Source organism: Homo sapiens, chromosome 2 (genome assembly GCF_000001405.40).
Source record: "Homo sapiens chromosome 2, GRCh38.p14 Primary Assembly".
Classification (NCBI taxonomy): domain Eukaryota; kingdom Metazoa; phylum Chordata; class Mammalia; order Primates; family Hominidae; genus Homo; species Homo sapiens.
In genome coordinates this window covers 160434796-160456476 of record NC_000002.12, presented here as the reverse complement: position 1 = coordinate 160456476, position 21681 = coordinate 160434796, and the positions used below count along the sequence as shown (strand labels likewise).

At 43.0% G+C, this 21681-nt stretch overlaps 1 protein-coding gene and 1 pseudogene across 3 annotated transcripts in view, besides 3 other annotated features; both read left to right on the top strand.

The window, feature by feature from the left end:
- The window catches only part of RBMS1 (RNA binding motif single stranded interacting protein 1), a 221657-nt gene that overhangs the window by 37331 nt on the left and 162645 nt on the right, over nucleotides 1-21681 (top strand). The gene's annotated exons all lie outside the window — the stretch shown is intronic.
- Nucleotides 6590-7397: an enhancer, noted in NCBI's record as "NANOG-H3K27ac hESC enhancer chr2:161305591-161306398 (GRCh37/hg19 assembly coordinates)". NCBI's record gives its function as "activates a minimal SCP1, AML or CMV promoter by ChIP-STARR-seq in primed H9 embryonic stem cells {active_cell/tissue: H9 hESC(primed)}" and the evidence as "EXISTENCE:reporter gene assay evidence [ECO:0000049][PMID:30033119]".
- Nucleotides 16068-16639: an enhancer, noted in NCBI's record as "H3K27ac-H3K4me1 hESC enhancer chr2:161296349-161296920 (GRCh37/hg19 assembly coordinates)". NCBI's record gives its function as "activates a minimal SCP1, AML or CMV promoter by ChIP-STARR-seq in primed H9 embryonic stem cells {active_cell/tissue: H9 hESC(primed)}" and the evidence as "EXISTENCE:reporter gene assay evidence [ECO:0000049][PMID:30033119]".
- Nucleotides 16640-17213: an enhancer, noted in NCBI's record as "H3K27ac-H3K4me1 hESC enhancer chr2:161295775-161296348 (GRCh37/hg19 assembly coordinates)". NCBI's record gives its function as "activates a minimal SCP1, AML or CMV promoter by ChIP-STARR-seq in primed H9 embryonic stem cells {active_cell/tissue: H9 hESC(primed)}" and the evidence as "EXISTENCE:reporter gene assay evidence [ECO:0000049][PMID:30033119]".
- LOC100419108 (centromere protein L pseudogene) lies at nucleotides 18216-19048 on the top strand (annotated as a pseudogene).

Sequence of the window (21681 nt, the reverse complement as noted above, 5' to 3'; positions counted from 1 at the left end):
TAAGGTAACAATCTATACTGTATTTTATTTAAGCCTTAATTATCTAGATTAAAAATAATAAAAAAACTTCCCTAGAATTCCTTTGCAAAAGTGCCAGATGACTTCACGTACACCTTTTAGCTTCCTGACATTGGATTGAACAGCAATTTCCTCATCTTTCCAGTGGAAAGAAAAAGACGACTCACCCTATAGCTGGTAAGAGGTTTAAATCAGACAAACCATAGAAAGCACTTAGCACAGTACCTAACATGTAGTGTGTGCTAAATACATTAGGTTCTATTATTGGTGGTGGTATTATCAATGTTACAACTACTATTTTACCTTTTTAAGTTTGTTTGTTTTTTCCTGAAATTATTAGTTCCACTCTTTTCACATTGCCTGTAGGTCCTTGCTCTCTGCTCCCCTGTTTGATCTGTATTTCTTTTTCTTTCACTGATTTTCCAAATATTGCTTTTATCATGGATAAATCACTGCCCATAAAAAGCTTGGGAATGGGCCGGGCGCGGTGGCTCACGCCTGTAATCCCAGCACTTTGGGAGGCCGAGGCGGGCGGATCACGAGGTCAGGAGATCGAGACCATCCTGGCTAACACGGTGAAACCCCGTCTCTACTAAAAATACAAAAAATTAGCCGGGCGTGGTAGCGGGCGCCTGTAGTCCCAGCTACTCGGGAGGCTGAGGCAGGAGAATGGCGTGAACCCGGGAGGCGGAGCTTGCAGTGAGCCGAGATCGCGCCACTGCACTCCAGCCTGGGCGACAGAGCGAGACTCCGTCTCAAAAAAAAAAAAAAAAAAGCTTGGGAATGGAGTTTATATTACATTGTATGTGATGGTTATAATTTTCTCTCCCTTCTCTTTCTTTCCTTGGCTTGGATATTCCTTTGGTGTCCTCTCCAGGCAGGTTCACAATTTTCCTCCCAAGCAGTAAATAGTATCCATGCAGCATGACTGCTTGCCAGCCACAGTTAATAAACTGAAGTGTGCAAGTGTGTTCCTGTTCATTTTTGTTCAGTCTGCAATTATATTTATCTTCTTCTTTCTTCTCACCCTTTCTAGTTGTAACATTTCTCTTGGTTTAACAAAATGTCACAAGCACATTCTAAAAAATGATACTGCATGGTATCTACTTTTTCTGACATAATTGTAACTTGAGCACATTTGTTCGCAACAGAGAGGAGTGTGACATTTCTAAACAAACAAAAATAACAGCCTGTACCATGTCTTATATTGCCATTTATAAAGCATCAGCTCAGGTAGAAAAGGCCAGGTTTTCAACTGAAGTAAAAATGAAAAAATTGAGTTTCAATTGACATCAGATACCGGTCTTTTTCTTGAAAAGAGGCTTTAAACTTTTTGGAATGATAGTTCTGATTAAACATTTAATGGCATGTATAATGTGGCATTCTAGGAACCAGGATCTGCATTGTAACTTTGTGTACCTGAAGTATACGATTCAGAGAAAGAGAGACAGCTACAGAGGTGGTTTGAATTTAACTTTTAAGAATGATCAGAGACAAATATTTGACTGAATATAATGTTTACTGATGGATGTTCAAATAATTATTATACTAAGTATACTGAAAAATCAAATAAATGGAGAACTTTTCCATCTCACTAGTAATTCTACCTAAAAGAAATTTCAATTGCTCATTTCATGGTGATATTTGAAAAACATTAATCTGATCCTGTCACTGTCCCAGCCCCACCCCCACTACCTAAAACCCTTAGTGACTTACTGGTGCCTTTACAAGAAAGTGCAGACTCTTTCACAGGACCAGCTCCTTAGAGGAGTTCTAGGTTGGCTCGCCACTCCTCTTCTTCACTGGGTTCCAGGCATGCTGGCCTTCACTTCCTTACACACGCCCAGATCCTTCCTGCCTCAGGACCTCCCAGTATATTCCCCTTCTTTTGGGACACTCTTTCTCACATTCTTTACATGGTTAATTCCTCCTCCACTTTCACTTTGCATTGTTCCAGTTGCTTCCTTAGAGAGGCACTTCCTGGTACCCCAGGACCTCAAAGTTGCCATCCTTCATGGTCTCCTGTTCTTTCTTTATATGGCACCTACTGCATTTTATAACTATGCATTTATTTGTGTGTTTCTTTAGTATCTTTAGCATCTTATTCACAACTGTGTACCTAGCACAAATAGTAAGCAGTCAGTAACTGTGTGCTAACTTGGTAAATACTCATGTAACATTGCATGAAAAGAGTAAATAATTGAAATGGTGTGTTGTCCTTGCATCCTTTCTATGTCTAGTTTAAACAGTCTACCTCTCATGAGGTTTCCTCAAAGAAACCATTATATGATTATCTTAATTTGAACAGTAACAACACAGACATTTATTGAGATATGATCTGGATGTAGCAACAAAGGTAAAGTAGATATGGCTTCTACTTTGATAGAACTCAGTATAAGCAGGAGATAAACATAGAGGTCATTACAAGGGCTTGTGTTTGGGGGTGAGGTGGAGAGAATAGAAGAAACGTTCATAGAGGAGATGACATTGAAACTTAGTGGGTTGGGAAGGAGGAGTGAATTTTGTTAGCTGGAGAAGGCTGGAAAGCCACTCTTAGCATAAAAACTATCATGAACTAAGGTAGAGGGGCACCAAAGTATATACTGGATTCAGGAAATTGGTGAGAAGTTCTGTGTGGCTGAGGGTGCTTGTGAAGAAGGGTGGGTAAGGAGAAGAGTGGTAGGAGATGACACGAGAAAGATAGACTGGATGTAGGTTCTGGGTCATTTGGGTGATTTTCCTGAGGAGCTTGGGTGTTATTTTGTAGGCCATGAAATGTTTGAAGCATGGGAATGAGAGAGCAGATCTGTGTTTGAGAAACATGATGCTGGAGTGGTGGCAATGCATTGTTGAGTGAGGGGGAAGTGACATAAGAGGGCAATGAATACAAGTCAAATTTGGCAGAAGTTAGGTTGTTATGGGGAGAGAAAGAATGAAGGGATCACTTTTAAAATTCTTTTTTTAAATTATGAAAGTAATGCATGCTTACAGGGATAATTTGGAAAATGCAGAAAATTATAAAAAAGAAAAGAACGATCATAATATGGTATGTGGAAAGAAAAGCAGAGTCAAGGGGAAATGCTTTTACGATGGTAAGGATGACAGGGGAAACTTTTGGAAAGGATCCAGAAGGATCCTCCCTTTTAGAGATCTCTAGTTTATTTCTTTTTTACAGGCCTTAATTTTGTCCATCTGGAAGCACCACAACCTTTTGGATCTCCAGGGTTTTGCACATATTTTTTTTTTTCTCTCTGGACTAGTTCCTCCTGCTATTCCCTTCTCTCCCTTTTGCCTGGCAAACTTTTATTCCTTATTCAGGCCAATAGTAATAGTAATAATAAGCATCATCATCATCATCATCATCATCATAACAGTAGTTACAGAAACACACAACAATCACCTATCCAGTGCTTGTCCCTGTGGTTAGTGCTTTGTTAATCCTTACGTGAGTCCTGTAAGGTAAGCACTACTATTACCCCATCCTACAGATGAAGATACTAAGGCATTACAAGGTTAAGTGACTTGAGCAAATGTAAATATCACAACTTATCACTTCCCTCACCAAGTCTGGAGTCCCTGTAATGTGATCTCATAAGCTCCTAATTTCTCCTGGGAGACTTTTATCATACTCGTACTTGTTTGATGAATGCCAGTTTTCTCTGCTGGACTGTAAGCCCTGTGAGAGCAGGTAGTACGTCTGTCTTGTTCTCTGCTATACCCTCCAGTGCTTAGCTTTGTGATTACGTGGTACAAGCACTTGACACTGTTGATTACCATTCTCGTAATAAGGTCATTCTAAGCCTGTTGCACTGACCTGTAAAAGTGCACACCTTGGAAGAGAATACAGTTGGCCTTCCATATCTGCAGGTTCTGCATCCATGGATTGAACAACCACAGATTGAAAATATTTTTAAAAATAAACAATGAATAACAATACAACAACAAAAAATATAGTATAACCACTATTTACATAGCATTTATGTTGTATTATGTGTTATTAATATAAGTAATTAAGAGATCATTTAAATATACAGGGGGATGTCCCTAGGTTATATGCAAATACTTTGTCATTTTATATAAGGAACTTAAGCATCTGGGGATTTTGGTGTCTTCTGGGGGTCCTGGAACCCATCTCCCATGGATGAGGAATGACTGTACTTATTAGCTCACCATGATAGCCCTGGGACCTTTAGATGAGGACTTTGGGATTTCCTGGGAGCTCAGAGGCCTCCATATCAATCTGTATCTTTTTTTTTCCATCTCCTCTAAGTTCCAGTAATTCCATAGAGCCTTCTCATAACTGATCTGATTTTCTAGGCCTCAAACTAGATCACATCCCCATGGAGATCCAGATGACAAGGACTCTAGTCCTGCCATGATTGATACTTAAATTCTTTGTACAGCCTCTTTAAGGGGTTCAAGTTTGCTTTTATTCAGGTTTTATTTGGTTTTCATTAGATAGATAAAACCTAAATATAAGATTTTATAATTTGAAAAAAAACTTAGATGGAAATAATAAAAGGATGATTTTTTAAGATACTGCTGCATTGGCCAGGCGCGGTGCCTCATGCCTGTAATCCCAACACTTTAGGAGGCCGAGGAGGGTAGATTACCTGAGGTCAGGAGTTCAAGACCAGCCTGGCCAACATGGTGAAAACACCATCTGTACTAAAAATACAAAATTTAGCCGGGAGTGGTGGCGCACACCTGTAATCCCAGCTACTCGGGTGGCTGAGGCAGGAGAATTGCTTGAGCCCAGGAGATGGAGGTTGCAGTGAGCCGAGATTGCACCACTGCACTCCAGCCTGACTGACAGAGCAAGACTCTGTCAAAAAAATAATAATAATAATAATAAAAACAGTGCTGCATTAAACGTTTTATTTCTATATTTTGTCTGGTGCATTGGGTTTAAGTAGATTTGAAAATTACTAATAACACACTAAGGTTATTTTACTACCAAAATGATAAATTATTGATGTTTACATTTTAATCCAAATATAGATTATACTTGTACATTGTAAAGGAAATACTTTTTTTGGATTAGTTTTGTACCTGTTGCTTCTTTATTTCATTTATCAAAGGAGATAAAAACTATGAAGGCACTGGAAGGTGAACACTCATCAGGGTTAATCACGGATATTTTGAACAAAACAACCAACACCCAAAGAGCAAACATTGGTTTAACACAAGCAGATAAATTTAGAGATCCTGAGTGTTTCTTTGACAATTAATACAAAACATCAAGACAATAAACATGTTATGATATTTTCTCTAGTTTTTATTTATTTATTTTTTTTTTTCTGAAGCATGGTCTTGCTCTGTCACCCAGGCTGGAATACAGTGGTGCTCATCACAGCTCACTGCAGCCTCAAACTCCTGGGCTCAAGGGATCCTCCCACTTCAGCCTCCCAACTAGCTGGGACAACAGGCATGCAGCACTATATCTGACTGATTTTTATAGTTTTTTGTAGAGATGGGGTCTCACTATGTTGCCCTCGCCTCAAGTGATCCTCCTGCCTTGGCCTCCCAAAGTGCTGGGATTACAGACGTGAGCCACTGCACCTGTCCTTTTTCTAGTTTTAGATACTTGAGTTTGTTGTTGTTGTTGTTTTTCTTAATAAAAATCAGTCACAGTATTAAGTAAGGTATTTAAGTCAGGTCAACACAAGTTTCAAAATATTGGCTTGGGAGCTACTTCAGTCTGTATCTTTATCTTCCTGTTTAATTATAGACTGGAAAAGGAAGACAGCATTTCCTGCTTTTACAGTTTCCTAATGATGATATCTCAGCTTGTAATGATTTAATCCAAAGGAAGAAGGCATTCTATCTACATCTACAAAACAAACCACCACTATTACAAACTGGGTTAATGTTTTTTGTTTTTTTTTTTTTTTCATTTTTTATTTTTTATTTTTTTTGAGATGGAATTTCACTTTTGTTGCCCAGCCTGGAGTGCAATGGTGCAATCTTGGCTCACTGCAGCCTCCGCCCTCTGGGTTCAAGCGATTTTCCTGCCTCAGCCTCCCAAGTAGCTGGGATTACAGGCACCTTTCATCACGCCCGGCTAATTTTTTGTATTTAGTAGAGATGGGGTTTCACCATGTTGGTCAAGCTGGTCTTGAATTCCTGACCTCAGGTGATCCACCCACCTCTGCCTCCCAAATGCTGGGATTACAGGTGTGAGCCACAGCACCTGGCCAATGGGTGCAAGGTTAGTACCTGCGTACAGCACTGTGAAGATTGCATGAAGTGATTCCCATAGAGTGCTTAGCACCCCTCGTAGATTCCACAAAAAGAGTGTTTCCTCTGTGCCTGGTATACAGCAGGTGGCAGTTGTCATTCAGGATGGCAGCAAGTGCTGGTATGGTTGGTGTGGTCAGCAGGGTGAAGGGTGTATGCTGCAGAGTGGAGGGGGTGAGAAAGGAATCTGCAAAAGAAGGAGGGTGGGCTTGAGGTGGGGCTTGTTTGTAAGTCATACTGAGGGCAGCAGGGAGTCCTGTGGCCTCATCAGGTTGGAGATGTATAGAGCTGAAAATGAGAAATGAGCTTTGGTGAAGGGGAGAGCCACATTTAGCACCAAGCAGGGCAGGTATTCTTTCCATTCATCCCCCATTTTTTAATTTTTTTTTAGTATTTATTGATCGTTCTTGGGTGTTTCTCAGAGAGGGGGATTTGGCAGGGTCACAGGACAATAGTGGAGGGGAGGTCAGCAGATAAACATGGGAACAAGGGTCTCTGGTTTTCCTAGGCAGAGGACCCTAGGGCCTTCCGCAGTGTTTGTGTCCCTGGGTACTTGAGATGAGGGAGTGGTGATGACTCTTAAGGAGCATGCTGCCTTCAAGCATCTGTTTAACAAAGCACATCTTGCACCGCCCTTAATCCGTTTAACCCTGAGTGGACACAGCACATGTTTCAGAGAGCACGGGGTTGGGGGTAAGGTTATAGATTAACAGCATCCCAAGGCAGAAGAATTTTTCTTAGTACAGAACAAAATGGAGTCTCCCATGTCTACTTCTTTCTACACAGACACAGTAACAATCTGATCTCTCTTTCTTTTCCCCACATTTCCCCCTTTTCTATTCGACAAAAACGCCATCGTCATCATGGCCCATTCTCAATGAGCTGTTGGGTACACCTCCCAGATGGGGTGGCGGCCGGGCAGAGGGGCTCCTCACTTCCCAGACGGGGCGGCTGGGCAGAGGCGCCCCCCACCTCCCTCCCAGATGGGGCGGCTGGCCTGGCGGGGGCTGCCCCCCACCTCCCTCCTGGACGGTGCGGCTGCCCGGCGGAGACGCTCCTCACTTCCCAGTGGGGGCGGCTGCCGGGCGGAGGGGCTCCTCACTTCCCAGACGGGGCGGCTGCCGGGCGGAGGGGCTCCTCACTTCCCAGACGGGGCAGCTGCCGGGCGGAGGGGCTCCTCACTTCTCAGACAGGGTGGCCGGGCAGACACACTCCTCACCTCCCAGACAGGGTGGCGGTCGGGCAGAGACACTCCTCAGTTCCCAGACGGGATGGCGACCGGGCAGAGGCACTCCTCACATCCCAGATGGGGTGGCGGGGCAGAGGCGCTCCCCACATCTCAGACGATGGGCGGCCAGGCAGAGACGCTCCTCACTTCCTAGACAGGATGGCGGCCGGGAAGAGGCGCTCCTCACTTCCCAGACTGGGTGGCTGGGCAGAGGGGCTCCTCACATCCCAGACGATGGGCGGCCAGGCAGAGACGCTCCTCACTTCCCAGACGGGTTGGCGGCCGGGCAGAGGCTGCAATCTCGGCACTTTGGGAGGCCAAGGCAGGCGGCTGGGAGGTGGAGGTCGTAGCGAGCCGAGATCACGCCACTGCACTCCAGCCTGGGCAACATCGAGCACTGAGTGAGCGAGACTCTGTCTGCAATCCTGGCACCTCGGGAGGCCGAGGCAGGCAGATTACTCGCGGTCAGGAGCTGGAGACCAGCCCGGCCAACACGGGGAAACCCCGTCTCCATCAAAAAATGCAAAAACCAGTCAGGCGTGGCTGCGCGCGCCTGCAATCCCAGGCACTCTGCAGGCTGAGGCAGGAGAATTAGGCAGGGAGGTTGCAGTGAGCCGAGATGGCGGCAGTACAGTCCAGCCTCCGCTCGGCATCAGAGGGAGACCGTGCAAAGAGGGAGACGGGAGAGGGGGAGGGGGAGGGGGAGGGGGAGTTAATGGTTTTCAAATCCCCAAGTAGTCAGGTGATTTCTACCATTTCACTTTATTTAAAAATGAATACAACTTTCTAAAAAAATTATTAGACTAAAATATATTAGAGCTGATATTATGGAAAGAATATAAGAATAGACAATATTATAAAAGGATATAAAGATAATTGTTATAAGCCAGTAAAAACTGTTTGACAGCATTTTATGGCTGGTCCTGTTATCAGATTTTGTTACTTTTGGCATGAAAATTAAAGTTAACATAGCCTATGATCTGATTAGCCTATTTATAACAATATTTTTCAGTGTTTTACATTTATTCGTTCAACCGTTTTTAAGAGTGCTGAGTGCTAAGGATTCAGTGATGAGTAAGACTCAGATCAGAGTCTTGGGGAAAGGAGATGGCTGCATCTTCCCCATGGTTATCAAGGGCATCATCCAATTCTGTGTAAGAGCTACTGTAGCATCTCTTGACCCCCAGCACTCAGAAGAGCATGCTGCAGTATCTCTTGATCTTTGGATTTTCAAGTACCATTTTAGCAATCTAGTTAGGAATTGCAGAAAGAATAGACAAAGACTCATTCATGCTGTCTCAACTATAAATGGACATTTGTAGCAGGAATGTCCTGCACTATATTCTAGCAGTATAAAAATGAAGGCCACATTGCTGGCCTCCAGGAACTTACAGTTCAGCTGGGGAAAGAAACAAGTAAATATGCAGAATTTCACCACCCAGTGGAGCAGTGCTTTTATCCTTTTATAAGTATCCTTTTCTAATACTGTATATTCTTGTATCATTTTAAAAATACCAGTTCTAGTAATATCAGTAAGCATAGACTTTCACGAAGAACAAAATAGAATTATGAATTTAGCAACCCTGTTTCATTTTCTTCCTGCAGCTCCATTTCTTAGCTTCTTTGCAGTAAGTTTGGAGGCCTGTGATTGAGTTGTGGTAAGTGGAATGTGGGCAGAAGGAACATATACTACATCTTGGCCTGGGCATAAAATCTCCTATACAAGCCTTCATGATCTTTCTTCACTTTCTGAGATGACCTTGGAGGTCAGGTGTAGAAGGTGGCCACATTCTCGGACCTTGAAGGATGGCCATGTGTAGCTCACTCGCCCACCTAGAAATACTATCCCTGCCCCTGGACTATTGAACTGGAATATAAATGAGAAGTAAACTTTCACTGTGTCCTTAAGATTTGAAGGTTATTTCGTAAGTACTTCGTCTATACTGATTAACACATTCTACTTTGCATTCTCAGGCTGCCTGCCTGGAGTAAGCATTAGTTACATGAAGAAGGGGTGCAAGGTGGTGTTGGTGGAGAACAACATGAGGTGGCAAGAAAGCTTGGAACTTTCAGGCGCCAATCAGTAGTCTGGTGTGGCCAGGGTGCAGCGGCAGTAGAGGGCAGTATTCATGACAAGAATGGAGAGAAAAGTCAAGGCAAGCATGTGGAACGTTTTGTGGGATGGGAGAGGAAAGCCCTGTCAACCGGAGGGGACAGCAGTCCGAGGAATGGGGAGTAAAATGGGGTGGACAAACAACAAAGAAAAGGTGCTAGCTGGTATCTGGTAATTAGTTTAAAACAGAAATAATTTCTTATAATAGAGATAAGTTTTGATAGTGGACATGTCCACTGGGTTCTCTCACATACACGGTTTCCAAAGGTATATATCTTAGACCCTTCCATTGATATTGATGTGTCCATGGATGTGAACAGAGCATGAGAAAAGTGAAGATGCTGAGAACGCTTTGGCCTAAGAGGAAAGAAAGACCATAATCTCTACCTTCAAGTGTCAGAAAGGATCGCAAGTAAAAGAGGTGTCCTACTTGACTAAGTGACCCCTAAGGGTGAGTTAGAACAAACAGGTAGAAGTGTAGGGAGACAGATATGGGCTCAGCATAAGGAAGAGCTTTGTCATAATTGCCTGAAGAGCAATCGGCCAATCCTGGAGAAGATGGCAATGAGTTTATGAACAGGATGAGTTCAAATAGACTGGTTCTTAACATGGAGGGACTGTCATAGACAGGGTTCAAGTATTGGATGAGGCTGGGACTAGGTAACTTTTGGAGCCTCTGCTTATAGTCTCATATTCTTTGATACTTGTCTGAAATGTAAAACTTTTTGAAGGTAGGTGTTATTTAAACTCTGATTTCAATGTGAGGGAAACGTTATGATAATGATATAAGGTTGAAAAACTTTCAAAGAAAGAAAACTATTCTTGCCCAGATGTCTTTACCTGGAGTTAACCACTTGACACTTAATACATTTTTTTTTTTTGGAGCTGATGGATATGCATTTAATCCAGTTAACATAGCCAGATGGGCCTTGCAGTGATATCACTGAACAGTATCTCCAAGAGAATGTCAGACCTCAGCAACAAGGCAGTGGGGTGAATGAAAAGGCAGATACTATCTTCCTCTGAGATACTGGGAGAAGAAACTTTCCCTTAACTCCCTTATTTATAAAAACCAGATAGCTTAGTTGTTCCTCTGAAACTGTCAGAATTTCTCTCATCACCGCCTCTGAACTGATGGATGGGGATTGGTCTTGCTTACTAAATGTGCATTGTAGCAAGACACAACTTTATTTAAAATACCATTAAGATGCAAGCACATTGTGGCTACTCTGAAGGCCTTCACTTACAACATGAATTATTCAAATAGCTTCTTAATAACTGTATTGATTTCCACAGTTAAAAGCAGATCAGATTATGGAATCTGCTCAATACCACTTAAATGTTTATAGATGTTAGAGTTGACAAAGACCTTTTAGACACTGATAATTCCTTTCACTGATCAGAATGCTAGAGATTTGGCATTGCTAGTAATGCTTTGTGATTATTTTTAATAAATCAGGAACACTGTAACAGCAATCATTTAAGGTCTTCATTCTTATTCCATTTTAGTCCCAGAGTCTTTGCCTGAAAATCTAGTTATGCTAAAAATCTGACCAGAAACTTTTACATTTATATTGATCAGAAGCTTTTATGTTTCTTTTGCAAAGATCAATGTAGTAAACATGTCTTAACCTGCATGTATTGATGTGAATATTAAAAAATATCTATGAATATTTATAATGATAAAATCCAATAAGGTTTCAGTTTCTCAGTTGCTTTTAGTACCCTGTGAAAAGGTAAAAGGGGGCAAGTGTACTAGTATGAGAAGAAATTATAGGTGGAGTAAAAATTAGATCTTTTATTCTTTCTGATTCTCCCCTTATTTGGAAGTCTCTGGGAAGGGAAATTTCCAGAGTGGATTGATTAGTCTGCTCGGGCTGCCATAACAAGATACCATAGACTGGGTGGTTTAAACAGCAGAAATTTGTTTTTTCACAGTTCTGGAGGATGGGAGTCCAAGATCGGGGTGCCAGCATGGTCAGGTTCTAGTGAGGGCTCTTCCTGGCTTGCCAAGGGTGTCTCCTTGCTGTGTGCGCATGTGTCCTTCCTTAGTGCATATGTGTTTGGTGCTGGGGTTGGGGGATCTCTTCCTCTCTCTTCCTCTTCTTGTAAGGCCACCAGACCTGTAGGATTAGGGCCCCAGCCTTTTGACCTCATTTAACTTTAATTACCTCCTACAGCCCCTGTCTCCAAATACAGTCATAGTAGGAGTAAGGTCTTCAACATAGCCATTTTTGGGAGACACAGTTCAGTGCACAGCACAAAGGCAGTGGGTTCTGGAGTCAGACTGCCTGAGTTTGAATGTAATCCGGGGCAAGTTGCCCTTTTTGTTTCTCGGTTTTCTGTAAACTGAGAATAGCGATAGTAATTTCACAGCTTTATCATGTTGAATAAATGAGTTGAGTAAGACACGCAAAGTACACAGAACAGTATATGGCATTTATAAAGTGCTCAATAAAAGTTAGTTATTATTAATAAATATGTAACTAGATATTTGTGCTTTTAGCTGAGACTTTTATGATTTTATGTATGTGGTTTCCACGTACTTTATGTTTACATATCAAATGATTTTTGGCATCAGGATTCAGAGTATGCTTTGAAAAATTTCTCCATGAATCTTGATAGATGCTTAAATATAAGGGAATAGAGTGTGTTTTATTTTATACAATGTATTTTATAATATTTGTAAAGAAGTTGTTCCATTTTCCCACTTAACTCTTATACGCACACACACACACTGGTTTTCTACCTGTACAATAAAAAACAGAATGTTGTTGTAGACCTTATTACTGTGGAAATCAAAGTACTTCATTCATAACAAGAAATCCAGCAATCTTTGGACTCTTCCTAAAGAGAGTTTGGGGTCAAAGATATCCCCATTGAGTTAGTATCTGGGAAAGCTAAGTAGAGAGCAGTTGACATCTTACCAGAAACTCTACAAGTAGAGTTTCTGCAAGTACAGAAGTACAGAAGTACAAGTACTACAAGTACAGAAACTCTACAAGTAAAGTAGAGTGGCCTAATTCATTGACCAATATTCTATTTCTTGTGTTAATGGAATTTGAATTAAAATGTGACAGAAAGCACACTGTGCTAGGCCATTCTTGCATTGCTATAAAGAAATATCTGAGGCTGGGTAATTTATGCAGAAAAGAGGTTTGATTGGTTCACAGTTCTGCAGACTGTACAGGAAGCATGGCATCGGCATCTGCTTAGCTTCTGGGGAGGCCTTAGGGAGCTTTGACTCGTGACAGAAGGCAAAGCCAGAGCAGGCACTTCACATGGCGAAAGCAGGAACCAGAGAGAGAGTGGGGGTGGGGGGAGGTGCCACACACTTTTAAATGACCAGATCTCGGTGTGAACTCAGATCAAGAGCTCACTCATCACCAGGAGATGGCCCAGGCTATTCAAGAGGGATCCACCCCCACGATCCAAACACCTCCCATCAGGCTGCATCGCCAACATTGGAGATCACATTTCAACATGAGATTTGGGTGGGGACAAATATTCAGACTATAGCACATGCTTAACTGATTTTCAAATCTTTCATGATTGTCATTATACTATGAGGCTGTCTTCAGTTCTTCTGGGCTGCTTCTAAGTCCAGAGGAGGGGCTGTGCTCTCTTTCTGTGTAAGTCAAGGTTTTTTTTTTTGTTTTTTTTTTTGTTTTCTTAAGACAAGGTCTCACTGTCACGCAGGCTGGAGTTCAGTGGCGCAATCTCGGCTCACTGCAACCTCCGCCTCCTGGGTTCCAGCAATTCTTCTGCCTCAGCCTCCCAAGTAGTTGGGATTACAGGTGCCCGCCACCACACCCGGCTAATTTTTGTATTTTTAATTAAGATGGGATTTAACCATGTTGGCCAGGCTAGTCTCGAACTCCTGACCTCAAGTGATCCACCCGCCTCTGCCTCCCAAAGTGCTGAGATTACAGGCGTGAGCCACCGCGCCCAGCCTCAAGGTCATTTTAATTTGGCAGGCAGGGTTTAAAAAGAAACAAGAAGGAGAAAAAAAGAAAGAAACTGCCCATGAGTTCCCTTAGTGCCCTTTCTAGCAGGCGGTTGTTCCTTCCTGCCTTCTGCTGCCTGCGTTGGGCCTCCTGTTGCCTCTCTATTCCATTTCAAGTACAGGAACAAGTCGTGGATATTTTACACTTAGAAACATTTCATTCTAAATAGTTGTACTTATGAGTCAAATTATAAGACTTTCACTAAAATTAGAACCTAAGAGTCTTTTTATATCTGAGCTCCTGCTTTAAAAAAATCAAAGTGAAATATTTATATAACGCAAAGTCTCTAGCTGCTGTAGGATGTGCAGTTTAAATGATCTATCCTTGTAATACTTCTCAGTATTGGGATGGCTAGTTCTACTAGAATGTTGAATGCAGCAGAAAATAAAATCAGCATGGCGTGGGCATGTACAACTTACATGTAAACTAAGGTGTTTAAATTAGATTTCAAATACACTGGATACTACTATTTCCCAAACTATGGGCAAATGTAGTACTAAGAAGCAGTCTCTCTGGGAAAAAAATGAAATTTTATACCTATTTCTATACTAAAAATTTAATTTGAATTGAGTTATAAACCCGAATATAAACTTGGAACTGTAAATCTTCTGGAAGAAGACATGGAAGTGTCATTGTGATCTCAGAGTAGGCAAAGCTTTTTTGCACATGACATAAAAAGCACAGATCATAAACAAAAAATTGATAAATCGGACATTATCAAAATTAAACATTTCTGCTTACCAACATATACTATCTTTAAGAAACTGAATAGACAGGTTCCAACTTGGAAAATGTTCATAGCATATATATCTGACAAAGTATTTGGATCTGGAATACATAAAGGATTTCTACAAATCTACCATAAAAAGACAAACAATCCAATTAAATACTTGAAAAGGCACTGCACAAAAGAAGATATATGAATGGCTAGTAACCTTGAAAAAGGTGCTTCACATCATTAGATATCAGGGAAAATGCAAATTATAGCCATAATTCGAGGCCATTTCACATTCACTAGAATAGATAACATAAAAAAGACGGCCAACACCTACTGTTAGGGAGGATGTATAGCACTTGGTATTCTTAATCATAGTGGAAATGTAAAGTGGTCTAACTATGTTAGAGAACTGTTCAGCAGTTTCTTATAAAGTTTTCGTCTCACTCTGTTGCCTAGGCTGGAGTGCAGTGGTGTGAGCATAGCTCACTGCAGCCTCAAATCTTGGGCTCAAGAGATCTTCCTGCCATAGCCTCCCTAGTAGCTGCAACTACAGGCACATGCCACTATACCCAGATAATTTTTTAAATTTTTTATAGAGATGCAGTCTTGCCATGTTCCCCAGGTTGGTCTTGAACTCCTGGCCTCAAGCAGTGCTCCTGCCTTGGCCTCCCAAAGTGCTGAGATTACAGGTGTGAGTCACTGTGCCCGGCCTCTTAAAAGTTAAACATACGTTTAATACATTTACCTGGTATGACCCAGAAATACCACCCTTAGGTATTTACCAACAAGAAATAAAAACATAGGTTCACAAAAAAGACTTACATAAAGATGTTTTAGCAGCCTTATTTTTAAAGCCCCAAACTGGAAACAATCCAAATGTCCATTAACAGGAGAATGGGTAAACAAATTATCTTAAAATGTCATACTACTTAGCAATAAAAAAAGAACAAGCAACTGATTCAGGCAACAATATTGATGACTCTCAAAAACACTCCAAGTGAAAGAAGCCAGTTGCAAAAAAACGACTTTATCCTGTGATTTCATCTACATGAAATCCAGATACTGGCAAAACTCCTCTATGATGACAGACATCAGACAGTGGTTGGAGAGGGAGTTGACAGGAAAGGGACATGAGGGAACACTCGTGGAAGGGAATGTCTCATGTCTTGTTTTCAGTGGTGGTTACACAACTGTATACAATTGTCAAAACTCATGAACTGAACACTTAAGATCTATGTATTTTATTCTGTTAATTATATCTCAATTTTTTTAAAAAGCAAAACAATCTACCTTCCCCTGCTAAAATGATTACACACTGATGAATAATCCAAGATGGAAACCTAGAGGATGTGAGAAGATGTTGTAAGTGAGATTTCTTGGGAGAAGGTGATAGCTGCCTCCAATGTGCACAAATACGTCTGTGCTATAAGAATCCCTAGAAAGAATGTTACAGAGAGTGACCTCGAGTCAACAACCTACTAAGGAAATGGAAATGGAAAGTACTGTATATTTCCACTTCTGTGCCAGCAGATCTAGGGACATCACCGGAGAGGCCATTTTAGAGTGACTAGATTTTGGTGAGGGTGGGGGAGAGATGGGGACAGGCTTTGCTAGCAGTAAATATGGCGACCCTCATGCCTCATCCAGTGGAGAAGGTGGTACATGGAGATCCTTCCTGGGGTATTTGAGGTGTTCTTCAGCTTGGGAGTCAAACGATGGATGAAAGATCAGTTGGTAAGTGTATGCTGAAGGTGGAGCTGAGGTGGAAGCATCATCAAGTCAGGGATGCTGGATTCGTTTTAGGTGTCAGAATTGTTCTTGTGCATTGTTTCTTGAGGCCAGGGATGTTGGGTCCTGCCTCAGATAGGAGATGAAGTTCATGTGGTCAGGCTTCCTAATGGAGAAGGATAAATCCTTTATGTTCACAATTATAAGAAAGTATTGAGAACCCAGGAGGCAGAGCTTGCAGTGAGCCGAGATCACGCCACTGCACTCTAGCCTGGGCAACAGAGACTCTGTCTCAGGGAAAAAAAGAAAAAAGCCCTCTCCCCTCTCCCCTCTCCCCTCTCCCCTCTCCCCTCTCCACGGTCTCCCTCTCCCTCTCTTTCCACGGTCTCCCTCTGATGCCGAGCCGAAGCTGGACGGTACTGCTGCCATCTCGGCTCACTGCAACCTCCCTGCCTGATTCTCCTGCCTCAGCTTGCCGAGTGCCTGCGATTGCAGGCGCGCGCCGCCACGCCTGACTGGTTTTCGTATTTTTTTGGTGGAGACGGGGTTTCGCTGTGTTGGCCGGGCTGGTCTCCAGCTCCTAACCGCGAGTGATCCGCCAGCCTCGGCCTCCCAAGGTGCTGGGATTGCAGACGGAGTCTCGTTCACTCAGTGCTCAGTGGTGCCCAGGCTGGAGTGCAGTGGCATGATCTCGGCTTGCTACAACCTCCACCTCCCAGCAGCCTGCCTTGGCCTCCCAAAGTGCCGAGATTGCAGCCTCTGCCCGGCCGCCACCCCGTCCGGGAAGTGAGGAGCGTCTCCGCCTGGCCGCCCATCGTCTGGGATGTGAGGAGCCCCTCTGCCTGGCTGCCCAGTCTGGAAAGTGAGGAGCGTCTCTGCCCGGCCGCCATCCCATCTAGGAAGTGAGGAGCGCCTCCTCCCGGCCGCCATCACATCTGGGAAGTGAGGAGCGTCTCTGCCCGGCTGCCCATCGTCTGAGATGTGGGGAGCACCTCTGCCCTGCCGCCCCGTCCGGGATGTGAGGGGCGTCTCTGCCCGGCCGCCCCGTCTGAGAAGTGAGGAGACCCTCTGCCTGGCAACCGCCCCGTCTGAGAAGTGAGGAGCCCTTCCGCCCGGCAGCCGCCCTGTCTGAGAAGTGAGGAGCCCTTCCGCCCAGCAGCCACCCCGTCTGGGAAGTGAGGAGCGTCTCCGTCCGGCAGCCACCTCGTCCGAGAGGGAGGTGGGGGGGTCAGCCCCCCGTCCGGCCAGCCGCCCCGTCCGGGAGGGAGGTGGGGGGATCAGCCCCCCGCCCGGCCAGCCGCCCCATCCGGCAGGTGAGGGGTGCCTCTGCCCGGCCGCCCCTACTGGGAAGTGAGGAGCCCCTCTGCTCGGCCAGCTGCCCCGTCCAGGAGGGAGATTGGGGGGTCAGCCCCCCGCCTGGCCAGCCGCCCCGTCCGGGAGGTGAGGGGCGCCTCTGCCCGGCCGCCCCTACTGGGAAGTGAGGAGCCCCTCTGCCCGGCCAGCCGCCCCGTCCAGGAGGGAGGTGGGGGGAGTCAGCCCCCCGTCCGGCCAGCCGCCCTGTCCGGGAGGTGAGGGGCGCCTCTGCCCGGCCGCGCCTACTGGGAAGTGAGGAGCCCCTCTGCCCGGCCACCACCCCGTCTGGGAGGTATACCCAACAGCTCATTGAGAACGGGCCATGATGACAATGGCGGTTTTGTGGAATAGAAAGGGGGGAAAGGTGGGGAAAAGACTGAGAAATCGGATGGTTGCCATGTCTGTGTAGAAAGAGGTAGACATGGGAGACTTTTCATTTTGTTCTGTACTAAGAAAAATTCTTCTGCCTTGGGATCCTGTTGATTGGTGACCTTATCCCCAATCCTGTGCTCTCTGAAACATGTGCTGTGTCCACTCAGGGTTGAATGGATTAAGGGCGGTGCAAGATGTGCTTTGTTAAACAGATGCTTGAAGGCAGCATGCTCGTTAAGAGTCATCACCACTCCCTAATCTCAAGTACCCAGGGACACAAACACTGCGGAAGGCCGCAGGGTCCTCTGCCTAGGAAAACCAGAGACCTTTGTTCACTTGTTTATCTGCTGACCTTCCCTCCACTATTGTCCTGTGACCCTGCCAAATCCCCCTCTGCGAGAAACACCCAAGAATGATCAATAAAAAAAAAAAAAAAAAGAAAGTATTGAGCCTCTGAAGATTGCCTTTCGTCTGCATAAACAATGGACTTTTTATATAACTTGATTCCCCTATGGAGTCTGCTATAATGATCTCGAAGAATATTCTTTACTTCTGAATGCTTTCAGTGCTACTGAAAAGAAAAAGGACTTGAGAAGTTAGAGAGGGTATCAACATCAAAGTGACTTCTTCCCTTCCAGCAATGGTAGGAACAGGAGGACCCTAAGGCATTTCTTAGTTTTTGTCCAGGTCCTGTCAAAAATCTTAGCTAATCTCCCTGATCACAGGAGTAAAAGTGGATGAACAAGGTGATTCTCCTGCCTTTTAAGAGTCAGGCTCTTAGAAACTGTTTTAGAGAATTTCACTTGTGTATCATTAATCCCTTAAATGAGGTAGTATCAATATGGCGATAATTGGAACTTGACTTTAGAAAAACTGTGACATATAACTCAGGTCCCTTGATAATCAGTGCCTGTGATTTTTCCTGAATGACAGCTATGTGTTTAGCACAGGCAATATGGACCATTCCTTTGTATCTGTAGCCCTCAGAATTTGAACATCTATGTTATACATTCTTAAGATGCAAAAATGTTCTGAGACATTGTCCATCAAACCCTTGGGAAGTCGATCCAGACGAAGTGTCGTATTCACATACTGCCTTTGTTCATATTGCTACGGATATTTCAAGATTCATTTGTCAGGCACAAAGTTGGTCATATTTTAACATCTGTTACTCCTTCACTGTTACTGATGGAAAGATGAAGATTCTGTGTAGTGAATACTTGATTGGAGTGTTGACATTTCTGACAGAACTGGCAATTTTTGAAATTGAGTGAGGCATTAGGTAGACTGCTTTGTGGATTCTATATTACTTTCCTATGGTTTATATACTATTCTTGCTAATTGTGCAAAACTGGGAGGGACTTCAAGAAAAATGAGAACAATCTAGGCTTTGCACTTCTCCCTTCTCAAGAGTTCCTTTAGAAGGGCTCAGGTGGGAGCAACAAACTAGACCAAAAATGAAGCAGGTGGCAGTGGTGGAGATAAGTTTGGTGTCCCTAAGGGCAACCATGAAGTTCTGGGATGGCGGCCTTTGGGATAGTAGTTGTCAATTTGCTATTCTATTTCTGTATAAGTTTTCTTTTTTTCCTTTAACATCGCTCTTCCAGGGTCCAAGCTAAATGAATGGGGCACTATACAGTAGGTTTTACCTTGGAGAGTATTCCCTTTGAGCATTGTAGACTTCTCTAGCTATGCTCCCCAGGTTCGTCTGGTTATTTTTCTTCATTGCCCTTCAAATTTCTGTATAAAGACCTTAGCTACAGATTCTTTTGCTAAACACATTGTCTTCAAACAATGTGAAAATGGAGGCTATGCTTTTCCAGGAGCCCATTATTCTGTTAGCTCCTTTAAAATTTTATTTTTATTAGATGGTGGCAATAAGAATGGGACGAATGTAGCAGGAAACCTCAGGGATGAGCTTTCTGTCTGGGTGGGCCTTTTCCATGACAGCAGCACCCTCGGAAATATTTGTGTTCAGCCATATTTAAACTTGAGTGAAAATGGACAGCTGAAAGTTAGTTCTTGTATTAAGAATGAGAGAAAGAGAGATTACTACTTTTCAAGTTACTTTTAAAATTCAGAATAAAAAGGAGAAGTAGCAAGCTTGGTAATCAAGTAAGGTAATAGATAAAACATATCAACCCAAAACTTTGTGGCTTAAAAAAGTAATGATTTATTATTTCTCATGATTCTGTGGCTCAGGAATTTGGAGGGGCAGTTGGCTGTTCCACATGTCATCATCTGGGTGAGGCAGTGGGCTGCATTCAGCAGGCAGCTTGGATGGGCTAGAATATTAGGAAGGTTTCCCTTTTAATAGCTGGTGCCCCTTGCTTTATTGTTAGCATTTCTCTCTCTACACGGGGAGCTTGGCCTTTCTCACGGGTCAGTGGTCTCAAGATACTTGGACTTTTTACATGGTGGTCAGCTTCCAAGAGGAGAGGAATAAGCTGCCAGGAGCAGCATCACCTCTACTACACATTATTGGTCAAAGCCACTCACCATGCCAGCCCAAATTCGAGCAGAGACGAGGTAGATTCTACTTTTTCTGGTGAGTACCAGAAAGGAAGGAGTTGACAGTGGCTCATTGGAGATTATCTATCACAGTTACTTACATATGTTACTTAAGTTGGAAGGGACCATTGTAGCAGTTAAACTGGGTGACTTTAACTTTTTTCAAGTCAAGTAGCAATCATGAAACCTTTATTGATAATCTCTTGGACTCATGGAGGTGACTTGATGAATCCTGTAATGCTTATCAAAACTGCCTCCTGCTCCTCTATACCCCAGTCAAATTATCCATTCTCATTAAATAATAACTTGGCTATTGATGAAACATTTAGTTACACACTCTAAGTCATTAGGATACTATAATGAATGCATTCTTGAGTGCTAGGAAATTTAGGCAAAGAAGATTAATACAGTCTGGACCTAAAATAATTCAAGATTTTCCATCATTCTATTTCAATTGCTCATATAACTTCTTGCTTTTCCTTGCTTTTTATGTGAGGAGTATAGGTTTCTTTTCTCATAGCCAGAGATGATCTTGAAAATAAGTGCCTTTTTTGACAGAAAAAAGTAAGGCTGGAATTCTAATGTAAAAGGTCCTCCAAAATACAAAGAAAAGCCTAAGGCTTGGACAATATAAAAATCTGCCATTCCTATTGCATTCCAACTATTAAACAGTAAAATATACTATATAATCGTTCCTTTATTAAATACTCTGAAGAAAGAGATGTGGAATAGCAATCAGAGGACTGATGTTCGGGTCACCTTTGGCAAATCACTTAACTTCAAGCCTTTCTTTTAATCTATAAAATGAGGATAATAATTTCTTCTCCACCTACCTCAGTGTTTGTGAAACTTAAATGAATAAAAGTATTCGGGACCACACATAAGGCATAATAACTGTATGATTAAAAAATTGTTGGTATACCAATAAAAAAGAGATAAAACCCCAATTAAATATTTATATGTCCCCCATAAGGGGCTCATGGTCTCAACAGAGTGTATATCCAGTAGGTTATTTAGTTAAGGTGTAGTGATAGTTTAAAATAACCCCACTCTTTCCATAGAAAGTTAGCAAGATCTTTCTTTTCATTTCTGCTTGGTTCTACTTATTCTGTAGAAAGTTGGGGTCATGTTGAACTGCCCTGGCTAAAATACCAGTCCTCTTTAAATGTCTAATTCCTGAGAAAGCTGGGTAAGATGGCAGAACAGTAACAATAGGACTCAGGGTCGGGCTTGTCTTTTCTGCCCTGGGATTCTTACCATTTCTGGCCATCTTTGACCAGGAAGTCAAAGCTCCTTTTATTTATTTGTAGTCCAAGCTCTTTTTCATGGCTGATTTAGTAATGATTTTTAAAGATCATCAGATAACCATTAGATAAAAATAATTCTAGACTCC